The sequence below is a fragment of the Homo sapiens genome, chromosome 9, assembly GCF_000001405.40.
Source record: "Homo sapiens chromosome 9, GRCh38.p14 Primary Assembly".
NCBI classification, from domain to species: domain Eukaryota; kingdom Metazoa; phylum Chordata; class Mammalia; order Primates; family Hominidae; genus Homo; species Homo sapiens.
This window is the reverse complement of record NC_000009.12, coordinates 36,189,862-36,214,044: the sequence shown is the minus strand read 5'-3', so window position 1 is coordinate 36,214,044 and position 24,183 is coordinate 36,189,862. Positions and strand designations below refer to the sequence as shown.

General features: G+C 45.5%; 1 protein-coding gene and 1 long non-coding RNA gene across 14 annotated transcripts, besides 2 other annotated features; one reads left to right on the top strand and one right to left on the bottom strand.

The window, feature by feature from the left end:
* Nucleotides 34–9,324, top strand: LOC124902151 (uncharacterized). The gene is made up of 2 exons (XR_007061474.1): nucleotides 34–759; nucleotides 5,491–9,324. It is a non-coding gene; the product is annotated as an uncharacterized LOC124902151 (long non-coding RNA).
* CLTA (clathrin light chain A) lies at nucleotides 1,986–23,171 on the bottom strand. 13 transcript variants are annotated; one of them, XM_017014257.2, is made up of 7 exons: nucleotides 23,134–23,171; nucleotides 16,457–16,494; nucleotides 14,949–15,066; nucleotides 9,866–9,977; nucleotides 4,725–4,778; nucleotides 3,385–3,420; nucleotides 1,986–2,442 (listed from the first exon to the last, which is right to left on the bottom strand). In XM_017014257.2, exons 2-7 carry the CDS (start codon nucleotides 16,475–16,477, stop codon nucleotides 2,271–2,273), a joined length of 513 nt encoding a protein of 170 aa, XP_016869746.1. In that variant the 5' UTR covers nucleotides 16,478–16,494; nucleotides 23,134–23,171; the 3' UTR covers nucleotides 1,986–2,270. The 13 variants fall into 13 exon arrangements, 12 of the variants coding, with proteins under 12 accessions (XP_016869746.1, NP_009027.1, XP_016869747.1 ...); NM_007096.4 differs by lacking the exon at nucleotides 23,134–23,171 and adding an exon at nucleotides 22,772–23,124; XM_017014258.2 differs by lacking the exon at nucleotides 4,725–4,778.
* Nucleotides 22,864–23,489: an enhancer, noted in NCBI's record as "H3K27ac hESC enhancer chr9:36190553-36191178 (GRCh37/hg19 assembly coordinates)". NCBI's record gives its function as "activates a minimal SCP1, AML or CMV promoter by ChIP-STARR-seq in primed H9 embryonic stem cells {active_cell/tissue: H9 hESC(primed)}" and the evidence as "EXISTENCE:reporter gene assay evidence [ECO:0000049][PMID:30033119]".
* Nucleotides 22,929–23,148: an enhancer, noted in NCBI's record as "active region_28348". NCBI's record gives its function as "activates an Ori minimal core promoter by ATAC-STARR-seq in GM12878 lymphoblastoid cells {active_cell/tissue: GM12878}" and the evidence as "EXISTENCE:reporter gene assay evidence [ECO:0000049][PMID:35858748]".

Here is a 24,183-nt window from a genome sequence, read left to right as displayed (position 1 = left end):
ATCATGCCATTGCACTCTAGCCTGGGCGACACAGTGAGACCCTGTCTCAAAAACAACAAAAACAAAACATTGCTATATATAACATTGAAAATTTGGCATAAAAAAGCAAAGTAGCCCCCAAGAAAGAGGTTTGAAACTAAGTGTTAAGCATTTACTGAGTCCCTAGACCCACTCCCTCTTTTTATGAGGCCCTATGTGGGTCTCATACAGGCATTAGAAACAATCCCAAATTACTATTGCTGTGTAACCTCAAAACTGAAGAGCTTAAAACAACAGTAATTGTTTCACGTCGTGGTTTCTGTGGGTCAGGATTTGGGAAAGGCTCAAACTTGACAGTTGTAGCTCAAGAGTATCCTGCACTTGTAGTTGTCAGCTGGAATAGCACGAGGCTGGCTGGCCAGGCATCTCCCAATGTGTGTGGTTACAGGGTCTCTCAGGTGGCCTCTCTGTGGGCTAGTTTGGGCTTCCTCACCACATGGGTAGCTTCAAAGGTAGAATTTTTTATGAGGCGGCTCAGGGCCACCAGCTAGTTGCTCCAACAAATCAACCATCAGCAGCACTGCCTTTTATGACCTAGCCTTGGAAGTCATCCCAGCATCACTTTTGTCACATTATTCAGTCACCTCTCCATCTAGAGAATGTCACAGATTTTGTTGACATTTAAAATTGCCACCTCCCACCTCAAGAAGCCCAGCTGGTGTGGGAGGCAAGACTGGTCCAGACGATGGCACCAAGACTACCAAAAATAAGCTGCCCCAGGTAGATGGCCATGGGAGTTCAGGGGAAGGGGGGTGGCCTTTGAACTAGTTCTTAAATTGGATTTTGACATTTGGAATGGGATTAGCAGGTCCCGTAGGAACAAAAGTCTGGGAACAATGATTGCTTGATTGTAATAAGATTTGACTAAAGGGGGAGGAATAAGCAGAGGCCAGAAATGTGGGCCAGGTCAAGGAAAGCCCAACTAAGCTTGGAAACGGGGAGGTAGCAGGAAAAGTAATGAAAGCTCCTTCCAGCCAAAAATAATTAACATTGAAGAGATAGTGGCCTTTCCTTCTTGGCAATGGCAACACCTAACCCCCATCCTGAGCATAGTATTACAGTTTACCTCAATCTCCAGTTTGGAAGTACCAGGTAGTTATAAGCAGATTACTGAAATATAGCTTTAATAATTGCTTGGAACATCACCTAAAACGAGCCAGGTACTATGCCAGGTTCTGAAGACAGATAATGAACTTACTGGTGTCTGAACAAAGCACGGGCTCCTGGAAACACCTGTGGTAGATCAGCATGGTCCAGTGCAGCTTTCTGCGACCATGGACATGTTCTATAACCTGTGCTATCCGAGTGCCACCTAACCACATATGGCTACTGAGCACATGAATTGTGACTAGGACTAGAAATGTATTTTAAATTCATTTAAATAGCCACATGGGCCTGGTGAATACTGCACTGGACAGCACAGGTCTAGATGAAGGATTTTACAAGAGAAATATGAACCAAGTGCTTGGGATGGCACAGAACCCAACATGTGCTACAGGACTCAACAGTAATGGGGCTAGCCACACATGAATGCCGTCCTGACTCAGGCTTACTGGCCGGATCCAAAGGAGTCAAGGTCTTACTAGAGTCTACGTGCCCCACAGACTCCTGCCGAAATATACTATCCAAGACCCTAAACTGAGGGACACTGGCAAGCAAGAGCCCATCTGGGAGAAAACGACTAGGTTGGTGAGAGGATTCACAGCTGTGTCTTAGGTAGATAATGAGGGGGTTAACCTTCAGCCACTAAACTCCCTTCTCAAATGAAAATGTCCACAGGATCCCACTCTAGATCCCGGTGCTATCTTAGTTCAAGGCAGGGCTGTGTGCCCAGTGGCTGTGCCTCCTCAGCCCTAGAAATTTCAAGGAAATTCCTCCTGGAAATTCCTTCCAACCTCACTCCAAACTACAACACATCTTGAGGTCAATAAAGAAGCTTCACATAATACAGTTTGAAACAGAAATTTATTCTCAGAATAATGCACAGAAGCACAGGTTGAGGCTACTCTTGGGAAGCTTCCCTCCCCTTCCTCTTCCTCCTCTCCCTCCTCTCTGAATGCCAGGGAGAACACAGTTGAAGGAAGGAAACATGCAATCACAAACAATGAACAACTCTAAAGACAAAAAGGTTTGGTCCAAAAGAACTCAACATAATTAATCCAATGACTGTGAAGAGCTTCACTGAGTAGGATTAAGATATTGCAGATGTAGTGTTTCCACAGGGTGGCTCTTCAGTGCACCAGCGGGGCCTGCTTGAGGGAGATGAGGACTGAGCGCATGCGGGAGACATCTTTGGCCTGCTTGCTAGACTTGGGGTTAAAGTCACACAGCCGGGCCACCCGTTCCCACTCAGTGCCTGGGGACGACTCGTCAATGTCATTTACAAAGGCTTCTTCTGCTGCCCTGGAAGCAACAACAAAATATGTTGGTTTATGCAGAACCCCCTTTGAGCAACCTGGTGGCTGCCTTGCTACACAAGCAACTGCCTATTTGTCCCTTTCTTAATGACATTCTGGCTTTCCCAAGATAACAGCCCCTGGCCCAGGTCAGACTCAGGTAGACACGTAGCTGGCTCTCCTAGGCACAGGGTGCCCAGACCGCTGTGTAAAATGTTGGAATACAGGTGTTTGGTTCAAGGCTCACTATGTCTCTCTGTCTGTCTCTGCTCCTGTGGAGCATTAATAAAACAAGTCCTTAGCCAGCTACACACTGCTTTTATTAATAAGAACAAAGCAGCAGGCTGATCAAGAACTTGAGTAGTTTATGCTGGGCTGTACTGAATTTCAAGGAAATTTAGAGACTTCTAAAAAGCCCACAGATCATTGCACAATAGCCTCTAGATTTATTCCTAAGGCTGGAGAGAAACGGGGCAGATCAAAAGGAATTCAAGACAAAGCTCCCATGCTAGCAAGCACTAGAGACTAAAGCCATTCTGGAAGGGGGTTTGTTAGGACATTCTCCAGTTCAGCCAAAAGTTTGCCATTTTCCCTCCAGCCAGGTGCCTTGGGGCCACTCAGGGCACACTGGCAGGAGAGCCAACGTGAGTTGCTTTTTGGCAGGATGCTGCTCCAACATTCTTTCACATCAAGGTCAGCCCACCCCCAGTTCGGAATTAACTGGTGGGAGCTACAGCCGGAAAGGACAGCGCTAAGACACACTATATTCATCTACTCCAACAAGCATCACGGGCAAAGCAAAAGCAATGGAGATGACTGGTCTGTGGGGACGGAGGGGTGGCACTATCACAGGGATGGCCGTGGCAAACACCGCTGAAGCCCAGAGCCACTACAACACTGCGACTTCATGGCACACACAGTTAGGGGCAGTGAGAAAGGTTTACTTAACTGTTCTAGGCTGTAGCAAGGATGGTTTATGTTTGTGCTTAAAGGTGAAGAGAAGAAAAGAAACGAGAGAAACTTTAAGTCAGATATAGAAAATGAGAATGAGCTCAATGCAGATGGTCAGTAAGCTGGACATGCCCTTGCCACTCTATCTGTGCTTGGGGACGTGCAGCTGGCTTTGCTGGCCACCCAGCTGCCCAGCAAAACCAGACTCGACCTTTCCAGTCTCCATTTCTACTCCAGAGAGAATGTGCAGAAATCAAATCAAACACCACCTGTAAGTCCAGCATTTCACAAGTCTCACTGCAAATGCATCTGGGGGCCCAGGAAACCCAGTTCTATCTTCTAAGGGGATGAACATCTCAAGGTCATAGGCCCTGAGAGGCTCTACAGACCTGAGCTCATCGCCCACCTTCCACAGGTTCCTCTCCTCTTCCATTCCACCCTTACTTCTCATGTAAAGCCAGCCCTAATTTTTAAGGAGGAGACAATGAGAACTGTTTCCAACTCTTCAGCAATACTGCTTTGATAAAAGAAATCCTTAAAAAAAAGAAAAAAGAAAAAAAGAAAAAAAAAAGAATAAGAAAAACACCTTCTCCAGAGAAGATGCAGGTTTCTTTTGGGGGGGTCAGGGGGAGAAGCCCAAGTGGCCCGTATCAAGACACTTTGACTATCCTGATCTCAAAGCTGGGGGCTTCCCTGTGCTAGGAGACAGGACATCAGAAGCTGACCACTAAATAGCAATTTCTGACATGCAAGACCACAGAGGAACAATTATAGACACCCACTGGAGACAACCCCCTCTGCTCTGGACTCTTCTGCCTGAGGGAGAGGCAAACGACCCCACATTGTTTGAATGAACCAAGTATGGAAAATGCTGCCCCACAGCTCTGATTTTGGCAATGCAAGGTGCTGCTGCTCACTGGCTCCTAACCTCCTGGGACTGCCACCTGCTCCCAGGTGGGGAAACCTCCTTCCCACCTGAGGCAGGCAGGCAACAGGGCATGGCAGCAGTGATGGCAGCCAAGAGCAAGAGAGCAGAGTTCCCCCGAGCCTCAAACCGTTCCCAGATAAGATCGCAAATGACACATTTTGAAAGCGAGTTAGCTTTCTTCCCTCCAAAACCCCAAATATGAAAAATGGCCATCAGAGGATGCAGGGAGTCACAAATCTGGAAGATTCATCAACAGATCATACCCCGCTTATCAATTCTTAGGCAGCCCCCAAAGTGCCAATTTGAAATAATTTAAAAAGCAAAGCAACTTGTGACATAAAAGGAGCATTAACTCTAAACAAAAGTAGAAAGAATCAGATGTAGAAAAAGGAATTAGTTTTGCAACATACACATAACCAATCACGTCAGCGAAGGGTTGTTTGTAGAAAGCTTCATCTGCCACCCTAGACAGCAAGAGGTCCAAAAGGCAGGCAAGCAGGCAGGAAAAAAGAGAGAACATTGAGAAGCAGAAACATCTAAAATCCACAATTGAGGTACAACTGTGCTCTGAGGAGCTGCTCCCAAGGCTCCTTCCTAACCCCCGTGAGGCTTCCAGCGCTGGAGACTTCAGCAGGCCTGGTTTCCCGCTGGCCTTCCCACGTGGGGACTGCTCCACGACAGAGCAAGCACTGCCAACTTCATCCCTTTGGCTCACCCCAGCAACACGGGCATTTATTAAGCACCCAATCATGGACTAAGCCCTTTCACATACATTATGTTGATTCAATCCTTAACTGTTAACAACCTATGACCCTGACTGTTCTCACCCCCACTGTACAGATGAGGTAACTGAGGCTTAGAGATGAACAACTTGCTCAGCTACACCACAGTGGCAGCATTCAGGACTCACAACCAAGGCAGCCTGGCCCTAAGTCCAGGGCTCTTTCTACTGTATAGTCATGCTTCTTCCCTGCTGTATGTGCCCAGAAAGCCACGCCACCTTCCTGTTTCAGTTAATGCACTGGGCAGGAATGCTGCCAGACACCAGATGCGCTAGGACCCAAAGCCAGTTTTATCTTGGATTATCTAACTACTGCTTCCCCACACTGTCTGGGTGGGATACACTTCCAGAATCCTGGGAACACATATCGTCATTTTAAAATCTCAACCTTACAGGAAAAAACGGCTGGAGGTGAGTGGTCTGGTGGGAAGAACACTGGACTAGGATCCTGGCCCTGGCTTCTGTTGTTCCTGAATATGGCTCTCTCTCTACTCAAGAAGCGGGTACAGTTTCTGAATATTTTTACACCAGACTCAATTGGCTTTGATAAGGTGCAGCCCAGAATCCAGAACTTCATCCCTTCTTAACTCTCAACATGGCAGGGCTCTCAGACAGGAAGGAGGGGGCAGACTGGGTGGATAAATTTTGACAGCAGGGGCCAGGCTGGCTTTGACTCTGTTGTCCTGGACTGACTCCCTGGGCTCTGCCAGCCCACTCTTCTCCACTGTGGCTGGACATGGAACCTCCCTCATGGAGTCTTACCCTGTCCTTTGTCAAGTCGATTTGGGGTGGGCAAGGGGAAAGACATTTTTCAAGGATAATCATGCCTGGTCATTAAGCTAACCTCACATACTTATTTGAAGGCAAATTCTAGTAATTTTAAGTTAATTTTTAAGCTCACACATGCCCTTCCTTCTTTCCCATTTTGTTTTATACACAGGAGGTGTTTTGTGGAAATTTAAAGAAAGCAAAAAGAGCAGGCTGATTATAACTTAAAGTGACTCAGCAGGAAAACAGAGTTGTTTGTGGGCAGAATGAGTGGGAGGAAAAGGCAAGGCAGGCTGGCTTATAAACCCATAACCCTTTTAGTTTACACAAAGGACTAAACCTGATCGATTTCAACTTGGGTTTCCCTCCACAAGAAGAGTAGAGGTTTCATGACTCCTGTCAAATCATCACTAAGACAACAAAAGTTTGAATGTCAGGCTCTTGCTCCTTTGCAGCTAGCCCAAGACCAAAGAGCTCCTCAGTGACAAGCACATCCCCTGTCAAGGTTGCAGGCCCAGAACAAACAGAAAATCAGACACACACACAGGTGGCCCTCCCCTTATTTGTCCTTCACTTGAAAGTAGCAATCCTCAGCCAAGGCAGGAAGGGGCTCAGGGAGGCTTAGGAGAGGGGAGGGAAGAGGAATACCTGACCTAGGACAAGCTCTGGAGGCACGAATACAATGCAGAACTTCATTCCATAAACAGCCTCAAAGTGGGCACAGAAAAAAATGTTTGCCATCTCTGAGAACTGTGGGTTCCCCAAACCTTCTCAAGCCTTGAAAGAGCTGACAAGCACAAGTGCTACCTGTAATAGGGGAAATGTTCTGGGGTTGTTCTTGATGAGCAAACTCATCCAGCTGCAGGAGTCAGTCACTGCTCTGGCTGGCTGGCTATGAAAAGGAAATTCTTTTCCATGGCTGTCACTGAATAATTCACAGCTCTTGTACTGTGACACTTAGGCCTCAACTTGGGATAAAAGAAGGGAGATGCAGTCTGGGGACTGACAATAGAGTACAGCACACCCACCCCCAGTGCAGTGCCAGGCGCGACGTGCTCCTAGTGCTTTGGTGACCCAGTGGTGAGGCAGCTGGAAGGCAGGAGGCCTGAGGATGCTCTCACAATTAACTGGATGCCCTTCCTGTCTCCGACTTTCCTCTTTCAAACTTCTCATCTTTCTGCCTTATCTCTCGGGTCCCCTTAACATCTAGCTACTGCAGAAGTCACCCAGAGAGAATCATACTTGCTTGAAATGAGCACCCCGTTTTCTTTTTTCTTTTCTTTTTTTCAGACTGAGTCTCGCTCTGTTGCCCAGGCTGGAGTGCAGTGGCGCAATCTCAGCTCACTGCAACCTCTGCCTCCCGGGTTCTAGTGATTCTCCTGCCTCAGACTCCCGAGTTGCTGGGATTACAGGCACACACCACCACACCCAGTTAATTTTCGCATTTTTAGTAGAGATGGGGTTTCACCATGTTGGGCAGGCTGGTCTCAAACTCCTGACCTCAAGTGATCTGCCCGCCTCAGCCTCCCAATGTGCTGGAATTACAGATGTTGAGTCACGGTGTCCGGCCCCCATTTTCTTTTCTAAAAATATTCACTCTTTACCCATAGACAGATAACAAGGATGAATTACTTTATACATCTAAATGGGACCTATTCCTTTGAACTCTAAAGTTTAGAGTCAAACATGGATGGAGAGGGGGAGTAGTCAGCAATATAAAAATCTCCAGGGGAGGGTGTAGACCCTTGGAAGAAGTCCCCCAAAGTGACTCTCAAATGGATCCCACCTCCAACCAGTGAAGAATCACTGGAATAAACTGTAAAAACCATCTCTTCTGTCCTAGAGCCCTGGTGACAATGGCTAGTGTGCCACTAGCGTTATGCTCTCAAGAGTCAGCCCTGTGCTGCAAGGTTCCCACAAGGCAAGTGACCTGCTTCCTAAGCAGCTCTACATTCTCAGTGAGCAGTGGGGAAGTTCCTTCTCTCTGGAACTTAAGAGGTTCATCTGTGAGACCAGCTTACCCAGCATTCTACAGTTCCAAGTACAGAAAGGTACCAAGGCCCAAATTCAATGCCTGGAGGGACTAAACTTTTAAGACTGAGCTCCTAAAAACAGGTGTCATGGCCAGGCGCGGTGGCTCACGCCTGTAATCCCAGCACTTTGGGAGGCCAAGGAAGGCAGATCACGAGGTCAGGAGATCGAGACCATCCTGGCTAACACAGTGAAACCTTGTTTCTACTAAAAACAGAAAAAAATTAGCTGGGCATGGTGGCGGGCACCTGTAGTCCCAGCTACTCGGGAGGCTGAGGCAGGAGAATGGCGTGAATCCAGGAGGTGGAGCTTGCAGTGAGCCGAGATCGCACCACCGCACTCCAGCCTGGGCAACAGAGCAAGACTCCATCTCAAAAAAAAAAAAAAAAAAAAAACAGGTGTCATTACTCCCTCTGAGAACAACGGATTCTGTATACAGAGAATATCCCTTTCTTGACAGTTCAGCAAAACTTCCTTGAAAAAAATTTCTGCAACAGAAAGGCTGTTACCAACATATTCATTATCTAAGTTTGAAAACTTGTGTTAAGTTATTGACGCATCACAGACCCAGAGCGGGGAGGGTCGGCACAGCTACAGTACTTCAGACTAAACTTAAATGCTGGGGTCGCAGGCTGGGGGAGTTCTCAGGGCTCGCAGGGTGCTTGCACACAGTCCCCACTCGGCTTTACCGATCTGAACTTCCACCTGGGAGAAAATCATCTTGAGGGAGCAGAGGACACAGGAGCCTGGACCTGTCAGCACCACCTACTGACCACAGGCTCAACAACAGCCCCACGTAGCTGATGGAAGCCATCACCACTGGCAACCCAGCCTGCACACCAGAGAGCAGTCCTGTGGGACTGGGACTGTGGAGTCCTGTGGACTCCACATGGAACCTGACAGGCACTCCTTGAGCACACCGCCCCCAGAGGAAAGTGACCAGGACACAGGCTCAAGCCGGAATCCAATGAGCTGAAGGGCTGCTAGCATATAAAAGAGAGTCCAACTGCTCTGTCATACTGGACCCACAATAGCACTGGCTGGCTGGCAAAGCCGTTAGCTCTCTCTCCTGCCACATCTCTGTCTAACAGAGCTGCCAGAGACAAGGGCACTTAACCCAACCTGCTTCCTGCCTCTGCATACGAGAACCCAAGGCTCTACCCTGAAAATTAAAAATATCCCCAGGCTCGGTCTGGCCCGTTTATACACTGAAGTGAATGGATTGACTATTCAGTGAAAGTTGGGCTCTGAACCTGCCTGCCCTGAGGGAAGCAACACCACATATCCTCTCTTTGCTGCTTCCAAGAAGGGCTCTAAGTGTAGGGCATTAAAGCCCAGCTGCTGGTGAGTAGTGATATGAGAATGAAAGCGTTTTTCTCCTCACAACTCCTTAACCATCAGTAACTAAATAAAATCTATTTCAAACAGAACATTTTTAAGAAGTCAATTCAAGACTTTTTAAGGCACAAATAAGTACCCACAGAACCCTCAATTCTAAAATAATCATGTTGGAACATCCTTGGCTGCCTAATTACAAAGCACATATTCCTGCCAACGGACCCCTTCATGAAGTGGCTTTCAGGGGGCAGGGCTATATTGAGGAGACTCAACATGACCAAGTCTATAATCATATCCAAAGTAACTAGATCTGGGTGTATTCATGACACCCAGCTTTCGTTTCAGGGTTCCATGGAAAGTAACTTTTCCCTTGGCTGAATCACACCATTACAGGTTATGCATATTAACCAAACTCTCAGAGAGCTAAGCTCACTACAATTGGGATGGCTAAACAATAGGGTGAATTATGCTCACAAGACCCGAGAGACTTGCAACCTGTTTCAAGCACTTTCTTTAAAAACTGCAGACATTTCACACTAAAGGAGGCAGAAGCCAAAAACCGAGACTGGATGCTGAGAATGGATTTGATTCAATTTTGGAAAACAAAGTGTGCTACAACCACCACGGACTGACCTGTTGTTTGCTTTTGTTTTCTGTAGCTGCTCGTCCTGTCTTGCATACCATTCTTCTAGCTCCTTTATTGCCTTTTCTTTCCACTCTGCTTCTTGCTTCCGAGAATTGGCATCTTTGAAGGGAGAGAAGAGAAAGACAATACAATTGAGGCAAAGTGCAAACTGAAGTTCATCAGTTTATTTTGGTCTTGCTGAACTTGTGGTGGGTGCAGGTCCATGTCTGTGTGCCTGTTGGGGGAGAAGAGTAGAGAGGGGAAGATAAACTTCTGTTTTCTCTGTTTGCACAACCAACTCTGATTTCAGTGCTTCTATTCCTGCCTGGTCTTTCCCACAGTCCTATTCCTGGTCTTATCCCAGTCCACTGACATCTTAGTGGGTCATTAGTTTTGTTTTGTCTTGTTTTGGGCAGAGCAAAAGAGAAGGGTGTATGTGGAAATACTGACTTCTATTATTAATAGGAAAAAAGCCTTCTGGGCACCAATTGGGGGAGAAACAATTATAGATGATTCTTTACCAATGCTGCCAATATTAGTTCATAGTAGGGTATTCATCTTAATCTTTTACCTCTTCTCCCAAACTAGTCCATATTCCAGGTTTGACAATGGTTTTGTGGAACACAAGGTGGCACTCTCATAACTAAATATGGTAGAAGCACTTCTGTGAGGCAGGGTGCTATTAGGACAATTACCAAAGGTAGAGATGATTCAGGAACCAGAGAATGATAGAACACAGAATATTAGCACTAGAGAGGACCACAAAGCATCTACTCCTACTTGGTCTGCAGTGTGTTTGTGGCAGAGCCAGGGCAGAGCTACAAAAGAAACTCCACTGGAGAGAAGTGCAGGGGGTAGAGGTATGGGATCATTGCTAACAGTTAACCTAAAGGTTCTAGAAATGACAGCAAGAAAATGCATACCTAGCAGGTTTGCTAGATTGGATTCTCAAACATGAAACATGAAGTTTCTGAGGACTAAATATGGTTTTCTCTAAGACACTAAGCTGAAGAGACATACATCAGTAGATAGTGAGAGATAAAGAAATACATGCCGGCTGCTTGTGGTGGCTCACGCCTGTAATCCCAACACTTTGGGAGGCCGAGGCAGGTGGATCATCTGAGGTTAGGAGTTCGAGACCAGCCTGGCCAACATGGTAAAATCCCGTCTCTACTAAAAATACAAAAAATTAGCTGGATGTGGTGGTGCATGCCTATAATCCCAGCTACTGGGGATTACTGGGGAGGCTGAGGCAGGAGAATCGCTTGAATCTGGGAGGCAGAGGTTGCAGTGAGCTGAGATCGCACCACTGCACTCCAGCCTAGGCAACAAAGTGAGACTCTGTCTCAAAAAAGAAAAAAAAAAAAAAGAAATACATGTCATAGCTACTGAGGCAGCTGACACTTGAAGTTAACCTGATACTTCACTTTAAACAAGTTCTTCTGTCTGGCAGGTGTTTTATAGACATCTAACTCAATCTTTACAACAATCCCAAGAAGGTAAACTCTGATCACATTTTCAGCAGTGAGAAAAACTAAAGCTCAGAAAGTTTGAGTGAATTTCCTAAAGGTTATAGTAAGTGACAGAGCCAAGATTCAAACCCAGATCTGGCTGTAAAGCTTACACTTTGCTTACCTCATTATGCTTCCTCCAAAGGGAGGGACAGAAAGGGAGGCAAGCCTAGAAATAATCACAAAACGTGACCACCAGTGATCTGGACAGAGTTTTGAAAGTGCAGACCAAGAGCCCAAACTGTAATTAGTGTCTTTGAGAAGGAGAGTAGATAGCAGTAGCGGTGTCAAGTAACTACTAGAAGGGATGAAAAATGAAGTATTCTTGGGCATTTTTAGGGCCTTTGCAAGAAAGGTCTTATAGTAACAACCTGCAAAAGGCTGTGTGTAACTATAAGAAAAAGCCTAATAGCAGCTAGAAACTCCCCCAAGTTTCAGGTTAGTAGGAACGTTCATCTCGGTATCTAATTTGTCGGAAGGTGATCTGTCGTTCAGAAGAATCATTTTCTCAGATTTTTCACTGATGACTCTAAAGTATATACAGTAAACTTTTTTTTGTTTTATTTGAGATAGGGTCTCGCTCTGTAGCCCAGGCTGTACTGCAGTAGTTCTATCACAGCTCACTGCAGCCTCAATCTCCCAGGCTCAAGTGATCCTCCCACCTCAATCTCCTAAGCAGCTGGGACCACAAGCGTGCACCACAACCCCCAGCTAATTTTTTTTTTTTAGTAGAGATAGGGTCTCACTATGGTGCCCAGGCTGGTCTTGAACTCCTGAGCTCAAGTGATCCTCCCACCTCAGCCTCCTAAAGTGCTGGGATTACAGACCTGAGCCACACCACCTAGCCTCTACAGTAAACATCTAATATGTGTCTATCCATGGCATGAAGTACAGATGTGGAATGCAAGATTTAGCTATGCTGCAATGAGAAGCTGTGGGCTGGAAGTGCCATGTGACAATACCTAATTCAAAATGTAAGGCCCCCTTTTCAATCATGGTGAAATTACTTCCAAATAATTACCTTTTTGATTGGACAGTATTTTCTTTCAATGTATTTTGATGTTAACATTTACTATACATTAGGACTAAAATATAAAATTTATCTCTGAAAAATGAAATTAAATAAAAATGGTGACCTCCTGAACAGACTGTGGTTACTGCATAAAATAGTACATTTAAATTGGTCTTCTGGCTTTTGCAGCTTTAGTGCCACTGCAATACTAATTTAGAATTCTTCCCCTCAGAGGATGAAGAGGAAGAGTCCCCTTAGAGAGCAAAGCACATTCACAGGTGCCTTCCCTTCTGGCCACCCTCGTTACTGGTCAGAGAAAAGAAAATTACTTGAGAATGTAGCCAGCAGCTAGGCTGAAAACCACTGGCACCGGTTCTCTATTTTTAGCATCGCGTGCTTTCTCACAGTTTTTGCAAGGAAAAAAGGTGAAATTGAAGGAACACCTTGTTCATGAACCAAGTGAATTCAATTCAGTTGGAATGCAAGGCCAAATGTTGTACTTCTCTCAAAAAAAGCACTTTGAATTAAGAAAACAGCTCATAAGAGTATTCCCCAAGTACCCAATTTCATAATTGAAAAATTAAATCTTTCCAGACACCAAAGTAGACTCTCTCCATGGAGAAGAAAAACTGCTAGAGCTTGGTAAAACAGAAAAGATAAATTTGGGTTCTGTAACATGAAAAATACTACAGCAGTACTAAGACCAGCTAAATCTTGCCTCTAAGCATACTCAAGAGACACAAAGAACAAGCAAGGACCAAAGCTGTTAGGACCTATTTTCATCTTCCTACAGCTCCACTGTCCAATATGGTAGCTACTAGCTACATGTGGCTACTTCAATGTAAATTTATTAAAATTAAAGAAAATTTAAAATTCAGTTTCTCAGTCACACTTGAATTGTGAAGCCACACTTCAAGTACTTAACAGTTACATGTGGTTAGTGGCTACCATACGAGACAGCACAGATACAGAATATTTCCACCAAAGAAATCACTAATGAATGGTGCTATAAAGGTTCAAATACTAAGTGCATTCTTTGTTCTGAAAGCCACCTAAATTGGACTAGAGAGATAAATGATTTGGCACTAATTGGCTGTGTCATCTGGGTCATGTCCCTTCCTATTTCTGGGTGTCAGTTATCCCATCTGAAAAATAAGGACTCATGTTTTCACTAGTTCAACAGTTCCCAAGAGGGAATAATACTGCTGACGTTGTGGTTACATAGGAGAATGTCATTATTTCTAGGAGGTGTACATTGAAATATTTAGACACAAAGTATATGATGTCTTTATCTTAAAGTAGGTCAGCCAAAACAATTTGTGTGTGTGTATGTCTAAAACATATCATTTATATAAAGATAATCCATTAATTACTGAATCTGGGGGTGCACATGTTTATTTTCCTCCTTTCAATTGTTCTGTAAAGTTGAGAAAAGATGAATCTTAAAGTCAGCTGATTAAAAAAAGAAAAAGAAAAAACAAAGAAAAGGCCACAATGTGGATTATATCCTCACACTCTGCATACTTCTCCAATCCACCATGTACAGACACAAGTCTCCCCTGATCATGAACCAACAGGTGACACTCCACGTACACATCTCTTTATCAAAGGCCAGGCTGTGTGGCTAGATGGCCACGCACATTAAATGTTTAGAAAGCAATGTGGCTGATGGGGATGGGTAGTGACTTTGAAGCAAGGCAGACTTCAGCTGAAATTGTGACTCTTACCATTCCTTAGCTGAGTATTCCAAATACTTATTCTACCTCTCCTCCACTTTTCTTACCTGTAAAATTGTAAAACTTACCTTACAGAGATATTAAGGTAGGAAAAACAAATTGTACATTTTTTCCTAACATACCTCATTTTCCTCGTGTTACTTTAAATTCATTTAGCCTTCAAATAAAAAATGGAGGCCGGGCGCGGTGGCTCACGCCTGTAATCCCAGCATTTTAGGAGGCCAAGGTGTGTGGATCACAAGGTCAGGAGATCGAGACCAACCTGGCTAACACGGTGAAACCCTGTCTCTACTAAAAATACAAAAAAAAAATGAGCGGGACGTAGTGGCGGGCGCCTGTAGACCCAGCTACTCAGGAGGCTGAGGGCAGGAGAATGGTGTGAACCCGGGAGGCAGAGCTTGCAATGAGCCGAGATCGCACCACTGCACTCCACCCTGGGTAACAGAGTGAGACTTCATCTCAAAAAAAAAAAAAGAAAAAAGAAAAAAGAAAAATGGACTGTTAAAGTCCACGGACATAGGAAACTTGAATCCTTCAAGTTTATAAAGCACTCTATAAACACCACCTGAGGCTACTCTTGAGGTCAGGAGCAGCATCACTATGCTCTTCCTGTGAGAGGATCTTGGGGATCTCCGGCTACCCTACTCCTCACACAATGGCCTGTGATTAGGCATCTCTGTGCAGGTAGCCTTGTAACCTTCAGGCTGAGAAGATATCTTCCCAAAGACCAGACAATGACACTGGTTAATGTGAGCTAAAAAGGAATAAAAGTAGAGTCCAGCTCAACTACTCCACTGAAAACAGACACCAAAACACAGAAGGGATTCCTTACCAAGGGCTTCCAAGCGTTCCATTTGTTCTTCTCTCCATTTACGGATACTTTCAGGCTCTGACTGCAATCGATCCACTTGTGAAATAGCTGCATAACTGTCTGTTGGACCATTACTTTCCTTAACACAAAACACAATTGTGCTATATTAATACCAAAAATTCCTTCCTAAAATGCACTTCACCTGAGTTAGAACCCCTGGTTCTGTTTTTTTTTTTTTTTTTTGAGACAGAGTTTTCACTCTTGTCGCCAAGGCTGGAGTGCAGTGGCACGATCTCGGCTCACTGCAACCTCCACCTCCCGGGTTCAAGCAATTCTCCTGCCTCAGCCTCCCGAGTAGCTGAGATTACAGGTGCCTGCGCCTGGCCTATGTGGTTGCTTTTTTTTTTTTTTTTTTCTGGGGTGGGGGAAGGGGGGACGGGACAGGGTCTTACTCTGTCACCCAGACTGGAGTGCAGTGGCGCAATCTTGGCCAACTGCAACCTCTACTCCCCGGGTTCAAGCAAATTCTCCTCTTGCCTCAGCCTCCCCAGTAGCTGGGATTACAGGCACATGCCACTACCGCCTGGTTAATTTTTGTATTTTTAGCAGAGACGGGTTTCACTGTGTTGGCCAGGCTGGTCTCGAACTCTTGACCTCAAATGATCCACCCACCCCAGCCTCCCAAAGTGCTGGAATTACAGGCGTGAGCCACCGTGCCCGGCCTGTGTTGTTGCTTTTAAGGTAATCCTTTAACATTTTACAAAAGCCGCCATTGTTGTTAGAAACGGGTTCTGCAGTGAGCCAAGGTTGCGGTGGCTCTGGCGGGGTGCGGTGGCTCACGCCTGTAATCCCAGCACTTTGGGAGGCCAAGGCGGGATGGTCACTTGAGCCCAGGAGTTCAAGACCTGCCTGGCCAACATGGCGAAACCCCATCTCTACTAAAAATACAAAAAATTAGCCGGGCGTGGTGGCATGCGCCTGTAATTCCAGCTACTCAGGAGGCTGAAGTGGATGAATCGCTTGAACCCAGAAGGTGGAGGTTGCAATGAGACAAGATCGTGCCACTGCACTCTAGCCTGGGCGACAGTGAGACTGTCTCAAAAAAAAAAAAAAAAAAAAAGACTCAAATAAATGTTAATCTTTACAAAATTATTCCATATGCCACTCACTGAACTAAGGAATATTAATATTACCAGGTTAACCTAATCAGACTATAAACAAAGATGGAAGGAGAATTATTTAAAGTATTAGTATTAACTTACTGCACTCAACACAGTATCATTTGAATGGTGATTTCTTTAGAATAAAGGTGATAACACTAGGGGCAGGTAAATAACATTTTTAAACAGTTCTCTTTTTATCAATGCTACCTCTCTTTAAATCTTTCCACTTTGGTAGATAACACACCAGCCAGTAATACATTCAGGAAAGTCAAAGGACTGGGGTTTCTTTCTAGGTCAGTCAATTAAAATCACAGGAAAGGAAGATTCTCAATCACTATCAATGAACAGAATCAGAGTACTCTGTACCTGGTAGTATTCACCATTCATTACTCCATCAACAGCATCTGCAAGACATAAGATTTTGGTCTATCAATAAGGACTGGTCAAACACTGGGCCAAAGGGTTGTACAGTAGAATACAGCATCATATGCTGTATGAACCTTGAGCTACTAAATGCTATCCCTGTGGTAGGTGCTATATACAACAAATAAAACCAAGATGTGCTTATATACAAATTTCACCAAAATGTGTACACATCTGTCCTTAAGCTCCCAAGTCCAAAAGCTTTTGATTTTATTTTCTGTTTTCTATTTTACAGTGGTAACAAATGGAAGACTAGCAGAAAGAGAACAGTGTTTCTCTATGAAAATTCTGCATGAGGGAAAAAAAAAAGTGTGGCCTGGAATCACCCATAGTGAGCAGAGACCTGCAGCTTCATCTTTGAGACAGTCTTGCTCTGTCGCCCAGGCTGGAGCAAAGTGGCCCAATCATGGCTTACTGTAGCCTCGACCTTTTGGGCTCAAGCGAACCTCCCACCTCAGTCCCCACAGGAGCTGGGATTGCAGGCATGCGCCACCACGCCTGGATAATTTTTCTATTTTTTTGTAGGAAGGGGGTTTCGCCATGCTGCCCAGGCTGCTATCGATTTCCTGGACTCAAGCGATCCACCCGCCTCGGTCTCCCAAAGTATTGGATTACAGGCATGAGCCACCATGCCTGGCCTCTCATATTTTTCTTAATTTTCCTAGTTGACTTTTACTCCTATATGTCAGTACAAAAATGAGTTTCTTATAGTTTGTCAGTGGCCTTTTACCACTTTAAGGCATGTGCCACCTACCTATGTAGTTTTTTAAGCACTCTATAAAGTTTTGGAAATATGAAGTTTATCAAACTAGTGAAAGCATGGGGGAAGCATATTCAATTTCGCCTCTGTAATAAATTTCTTGGTGTAGAATTGCTGGGTTACAGCTGGGCGCGGTGGCTCACACCTATAATCCCAGCACTTTGAGAGGCCAAGGTGGGAGGATCACTCGAGGTCAGGAGTTCAAGACCTGCCTGGCCAACATGGTGAAACCCACCTCCATATACTAAAAATACAAAAATTAGCCAGGGTGGTGGCATGAGCCTGTAATCCCAGCTACTCAGGAGGCTGAAAGAGGAGAATTGCTTGAACTCGGGAGGCAGAGGTTGCAGTGAGCCAAGATCGCGCCACTGCACTCCAGCCTGGGTGACGGAGCGAGACTCCATCTCAAAAAATAAAAAAAAAAAAAAAGAAAAAAGAAAGAAAAAAAAGGAATTGCTGGATCACAGGATATGTATTTTATTTTTTTTTGAGAGAGAGTCTTGCTCTGTTGCCCAGGCTAGAGTACAGTGGTGCAATCTTGGCTCACTGCAACCTCCACCTCCTGGGTTGTTCAAGTGATTCTCTTGCCTCAGCCTCCTGAGTAGCTGGGACTACAGGCGTGAGCTATCATGCCCACCTAATTTTTTTTGTAGTTTTAGTAGAGACGGGGGTTTCACCACGTTGGCCAGGATGGTCTCGAACTCCTGACCTCAGACGATCCACCCACCTCAGCCTCCCAAAGTGCTGGGATTACAGGCATGAGCCACTGCGCCCAGCCAGGATATGTATTTTTTTATTTTTTTTGAGACGGAGTCTCACGCTGTTGGCCAGGCTAGAGTACACTGGCGCGATCTCGGCTTGCTGCAACCTCCGCCTCCCAGGTTCAAGTGATTCTCCTGCCTCAGCCTCCCGAATAGCTGGGATTACAGGCACGTGCCACCATGCCCGGCTAATTTTTGTATTTTTTAGTAGAGACGAGGTTTCACTATGTTGGTCAGGCTGGTCTCAAACTCCTGACCTCAGGTGATCCGCCCACTTCAGCCTCCGAAAGTGCTGGGATTTCAGGCGTGAGCCACCGCACCTGGCCCAGGATATGTATTTCAAAGACTTCTAAAATTCTACCCACTTGTTCCTATTAGTCTACCAGTTTATATTACTACTAGCAGCACAAGTGCCCCATTTCTTAGACCTTCCCTGATACTAGGGACTGTGCTTGATCATGTTTTAAAATTTTTGCTAATTTGATAATGGAAAAAAAAAACAAACTCATGGTGGCTTTGTTGTGCCAATCTTATTTCCAGTGAGGTAATCACATACCCGACACCTGATTTTCTTCTTTACTGAATTTTCTGAGTTTGCCTATTTTCCTGCTATTTTTTGATCTCTAAGTATTTGCTCTCTAATAGTCAAATATTTTCCCTAGTTTCTCTTTTGATTTGGTTTATGGTATTTAACACTTGGAACAACTTAATTTGTGTATGTAGACATGATCGACTTTTTCTTCATGATTTCTGTATCTGCTTTTATGCTGAAGGCCTTTCCTATTATGAGATAGACAAATACTCACTTTTCTTCTTTTACTTTTTAAATGTCTCTCTTTAATCCACCTGGAATTTATTTTTGTGTAAGACAGAAGAGTGAGATAGTTTTAAATCCTAGATCCTACAGTGGCTAGTCTGGCCAGGCCTACATTATGGTTAATATAGTACAATTGACATACCAACTATCCACTAATATAGTCCAGCCCTGGGCTGGAATATGAGAGACTTTGATCACTACTCCATATACAAAACAAGAAGCAATCCTCATCCCACATCTCCTTAAAAATCACATGCTGTCTGAAGGCTCCTCCAGACCCACTGGCATCTGCTTTCCTCTTTATTAGTTACTGTATTACTGCACTAACATTCTTACAAGAATCAACTGGCTCAAGCCAAGGGATCGTCTGTTGCTGTGGAAACATGCAGAAAGGACATGTAGGGCCTTGACTTACTACAACAACTAAACTAAGCAACACGATGCTTCAGAAGGAAACTTTCTAGGGCCTTTCAGGAACTCCAGACAGAAAAAGGGCCAGTTTTCAAAAGTGAAAGACTGTCCCAAACCCACTTTCAACTTTCCACATTCCAGAAACATTTGAAGTCAAGCAGACCTACGTTTGAAGCTGCACTTGAGCCATTTATTACCTTGCTACCTTAGTGACACTGCTCAACTTCCACACCGATCCATTCTCATCTGAAATATGACACTACCACTTAACCTGTGGAGCTACTGCTGGGATCTGAAAGTGTACCTGGTATACAGCAAATGTGCAGTACAATTAACTATCATGCATGAGATTTCCCTAAACTTCCCTCCACCACTGCTACCAATAAAATTACTTCTCCAGAAAGCTTCCCTTTAATTCACCCATGTCTCTTTCTTCTCCTACAAGAAATAACTTGTCACCGGGTGCGGTGGTTCACACCTGTAATTCCAGCACTTTGGGAGGCCAAGGCGGGTGGCTCACCTGAGGTCAGGAGTTTCAGACCAGTCTGGCCAACATGGTGAAACCCCGTCTCTACTAAAAATACAAAAAGTTAGCTGGGCACGGTGGTGGGCGCCTGTAATCCCAGCTACTCGGGAGGCTGAGGCAGGATAACTGCTTGAACCCAGGAGGCGGAGGTTGCAGTGAACCGAGATCGCACCACTGCACTCCAGCCTGGGTGACAGAGCGACTGTCTCAAAAACAACAAAACACCATAATAGTGCCTTACTGCTGTACTCTCTCTGTGGCTTGTCTCTCCTGTTCTCTTCCCCGACTCAGCCCTCATGATTGAGAGCTTTTCAACAGCTCCACTTGTGCTGCCTCCTTCATGACCACCTGTTCTTCCTCAATATCCCCCACAGCTGGTTACCTCAATATCACTTCACCCAGCTGGTTTCTTCCTGCCTCTAAACCTACGTCTCTTTTCTGGATCTCTTAACAACCAAAGGAGTCATCCAAGGCTTAGCCCTAACCCCTCTGGTTTTTGCCTGTGCCCATCCTCCATAGACGCTTTCCGCAAGGCTGGGGCCAGTTTATTTTCCTCTCATCAATCTGTCATAGCTGACTGCCTATATATCTCTGTATAATACATCAGAAAGAGAGCTCCCGCCTAAAACCTCAATTTACTCAGTACACTTCAAAGCCTAAAGGCCTTGTAACTCCTTTCTCCCACTAATAGTAGCTGGAATTCACTAGATACTTAATATAACTGTAAGCACTTTATAGACACTCTTTAATGTAATCCTAAAGATGCCACATAGCATTATAAATTATATTATGCAACTTTTACAAAGGAGAAAACTGAGGCCGGGCAGTGGTGGTAGTTATATACATTGTCTGAGATCACAAAGCTAAACTCACACTCAAGCAGTTTAGGATAGCATAGAATCTTAACCACTAGAGCATATCTTTAAAAAAAAAAAAAAAGAAGGAAAAAGAAAACTAAGAGAGAAAAAGTGTCCAATCAGTTCTCTAAACTCCAAAGGAAATGCTGACCACTGCATATTACCAACTTCAATTACACTGTCAGGAATCTGGCTTTAAGTCACCAAATGCTTAGTTCACTAAGAAAGTCCCTCCTAGGAACTAAGTCAGCAACCATTTCTTTCCTTCCCTTTGCCGAAGGCTTGATGCACAAAGGACCGAGCATCCAACTCTATTCTCTCCCTTTTACCTTCCCTAACTGCCCGTCACCAAGATCTGTCAGTTCTACATAGGACCCTTGGATCTGACATTTTTGCCCATTTCTTTGTCAAACGTGAGCATCTACTACATGTCAGACACACTGCTAGGCAGTGGAGATAAAACAGTAAGGGTAACACTGTCCTTGAATCAGGACAATCTTCCAACTACAGATCTTGGGTTCTGCTTCTCCCAAATCTGTTCCACCTGGGACAGCCACAGCTGCCTGTCTGTTATCGCACTACACCCCTGCTAAAACAACTAAACACTGCAACAGAATGTGGTATATTCTAAGAGTGGGTAGACTTGGGGCTCAGCTATTAACTCGTGCTTTTTTAAGCAAGTCGTTTCTCTCTAGGATTGCTTCTCTTCTATTAAATGAGGAAGGTTAAACTAAGGGTCTAAGAAGTCAATTTTAAAATTCTCAGACAAATGTTAGAGACCACCCAATGAAAATATCCCCTAATCACTTAAGGCCAACTTCATCTCACAATCACAGCCTAGTTTAGTCCAACCTACCCGCTATAAAGTTGCATATTCGGGCATATTACATGTTCCCACTAAGTTCTTATTGGGGGACTGATTTGTTTAGGAAGCAACATGGTGCAGTCAAAAACTCAAGAGGCTGCAAACTAGCAGCACACCCACCAACCCATCCATCAAAAGGTTCCGCCTGGCTGGCACAGTAACTTGAGACTGCTGGATCTGAATGCCTTTACACAGAGCACTACTATAGTGCAGCAAAGCCTCAGTCTCCAACACTTCTACTGTCTCATGTCAAGCCAGCTTCTCTCGTATATGTTACCTACCTGGCTCCTTAAGGTTTGAATTTAGGGTAGACACTACTCCTATATGCCCCAGTAGTGCCCTATTCTCCCTTAGTTGGAATTTTTTAAGTGAATGAAAAGCCGTATTTCATTTCTTCTAGCTAAATTTCCTACTTCTTTGTATTATTAAGTAGGTCTTTTCCACTCATGATCCTAAGCATCACACACAGGTTAAGGCATCCAAAGGTCAAACTGCCATCCTACCTGCCCCATTTTTACTTGAGTTTGGCTGAGAACATTCTCTATTCACCTCTTCATCCCTCCCTGATTGGTTTAGGCTAATCTTGGGTTCTGCTTAGGCAATATTGCCTACCAAAGCTGTTCCCAGAGGAAGAGCTCCAGAAGTCCTAGCTGTAAATCAATCGCTCAACGATAGCAAACTCCTACCGCGCTTGGCAGTTCTTTCTCCAGACCTAGATCATCTTTCGAGTTCCCTACTCCCTCCTTCCTCCTCGTAATCCAACACTCTGTACACCTTAAGTGCTTAAATGCTGAACTGCATTGCTACTTTTGTTTGTATCTCTCAAAAACGATATTTCCATTCTTATTTTTTTCCGCCCTCCTTTTCTAATAACGAGTTCTGTGCTCGGCTCAGACTTATAAGCTTATAAGTCTGGAAAAACTGCGCCAATGCGGTTGCTTCAGAGACCGGACTAAAGGCACAGCAAATGCTTAATGAAAAGTTGCTGAATTGAACGGGCTTCTTCCGGCTCCGGAGCCTGCCACCCTACACTTGCTTTCTCGCTCCGCCCGCGCCCAGAAGCACTCAAACATGCTGAGAACCGAACAGGCTTCTCGAGCCTAGGTTTCTGAAAGACCGGGCCAGGGTCTCGTTTCCTGTTTGCACTGCTCCCTAACCTCCTAATTCAGCAAGGAGCACGAGTCACACAGAAGCTCTCGGACCCACTGTGGACCGAGTTTCCAGACAAGTCCTCTCGCCCCAAACGCGCCCGCACTCTCACCCGGACCCCCCGGCGGCTCGCCGTGCGGCTGGGGCCCGGGGGCGCCGCCGTCCAGGATGGCGAAGGCCTCGTCGTTCTCGATGCCCGCAATCTCGCTCTCTTGCTGCGCCAAGAAGGCCGCAGCCGGGTCTTCTTCGCCGGCGCCGGCCACTCCGTTCCCCAGCGCGGGACCGCCAGGGGCGCCGGCAGGGGCGCCGAACGGATCCAGCTCAGCCATGGCGGGCAACTGAACGGCACGGACACCAACGGTGAGACAAAAACCAACCGACCCACCGACACCACGCCCGGCAGCCACCGCTGTGGTGCCGACTGGGAGAGGAGGACAAGCGCCAGGAGGGAGACGGGTAAAGCGGAAGCCCTACCCGTGTATCCGGTCGGTCTAGGCGGTGTTGCAGAGCCGAAAAGGGAACAACCAATCAGAGGACAACAATGGTTCAGGAGCTACCCAATCAGCAAGTGGAGGGGCGGTCCCCCTAAAACAACTCGTGACTGGGGTAGGGCGGGAGGTGAGGGAGGTGAGCTGCGCGGGCCCCGGGAGGCGGAAGTGCTGCCTGATAGGGAGCGTCCTACCCACCCCGTCTGCTGGAGCTGGACTGACCAGGGACGGCCACCCCTGAGGGGACTCTAGTGCTGCACTGGGAGGTGAGGTGAAGTTAGGGCAGCGACGATTGGCCGATTACTGAAGAGGCATGCCACTTAGGCTTTCTGAACCTCAGTTTCCTCATTCGTAAAATAGAAACAAGAATCCTGCTCTTGCGCCCCCTCCCGGGATTATTAGAAGATTGAATCCTAAAAAAAAAGAAGAAGAAGATTGAATCCTTTTATGGATTTGAGGGTCCCTGGCTTTATAAATTTAAAATATTTAATTCTTTCAGCCAGCCTGGATTATTTGCTCCCTTAGAGCCCATAGATTTACTGTAATTGATTCAGTCCACTCCGATTTTTCTCGCCCATAAGTATTTTTATTTAAAAATGAATATATCTTATCTTCTTCAACGAAGCACTTTTGCAGCCATTACGTCTTTTCGGAGCTAGACAGAAGTTACTAAACCTGGAAAATTCCTTAAGGATCACTTGCTTCAAAGGGAGACACGGTGGCCCTGCTGTTCAAGGAGCGTCAGTGACCCAGAGAGTCAGTGACCAAGAGGAAACGCCTGTCTCCTGGGGACTTCCAAGATACTAGCTACAGTCTCTTATATTTACACCTTTCCTCCCTAAGGACAGCAGGAAAAAGAAAGTTCCGTGTTTCTTTTTAAATCAGGGAGATGTTAATAGCTACATGGCTCATTTTGTCTACACCACAGAAATAACAGTGGTTCCAGTTAATCATGCTCATGTTGAGGGGGAGTGCTTATGCAGGGGCCACCAGAAGACCCCTCTCCTTCACTACCACCACCACCACCCTAAGAAAT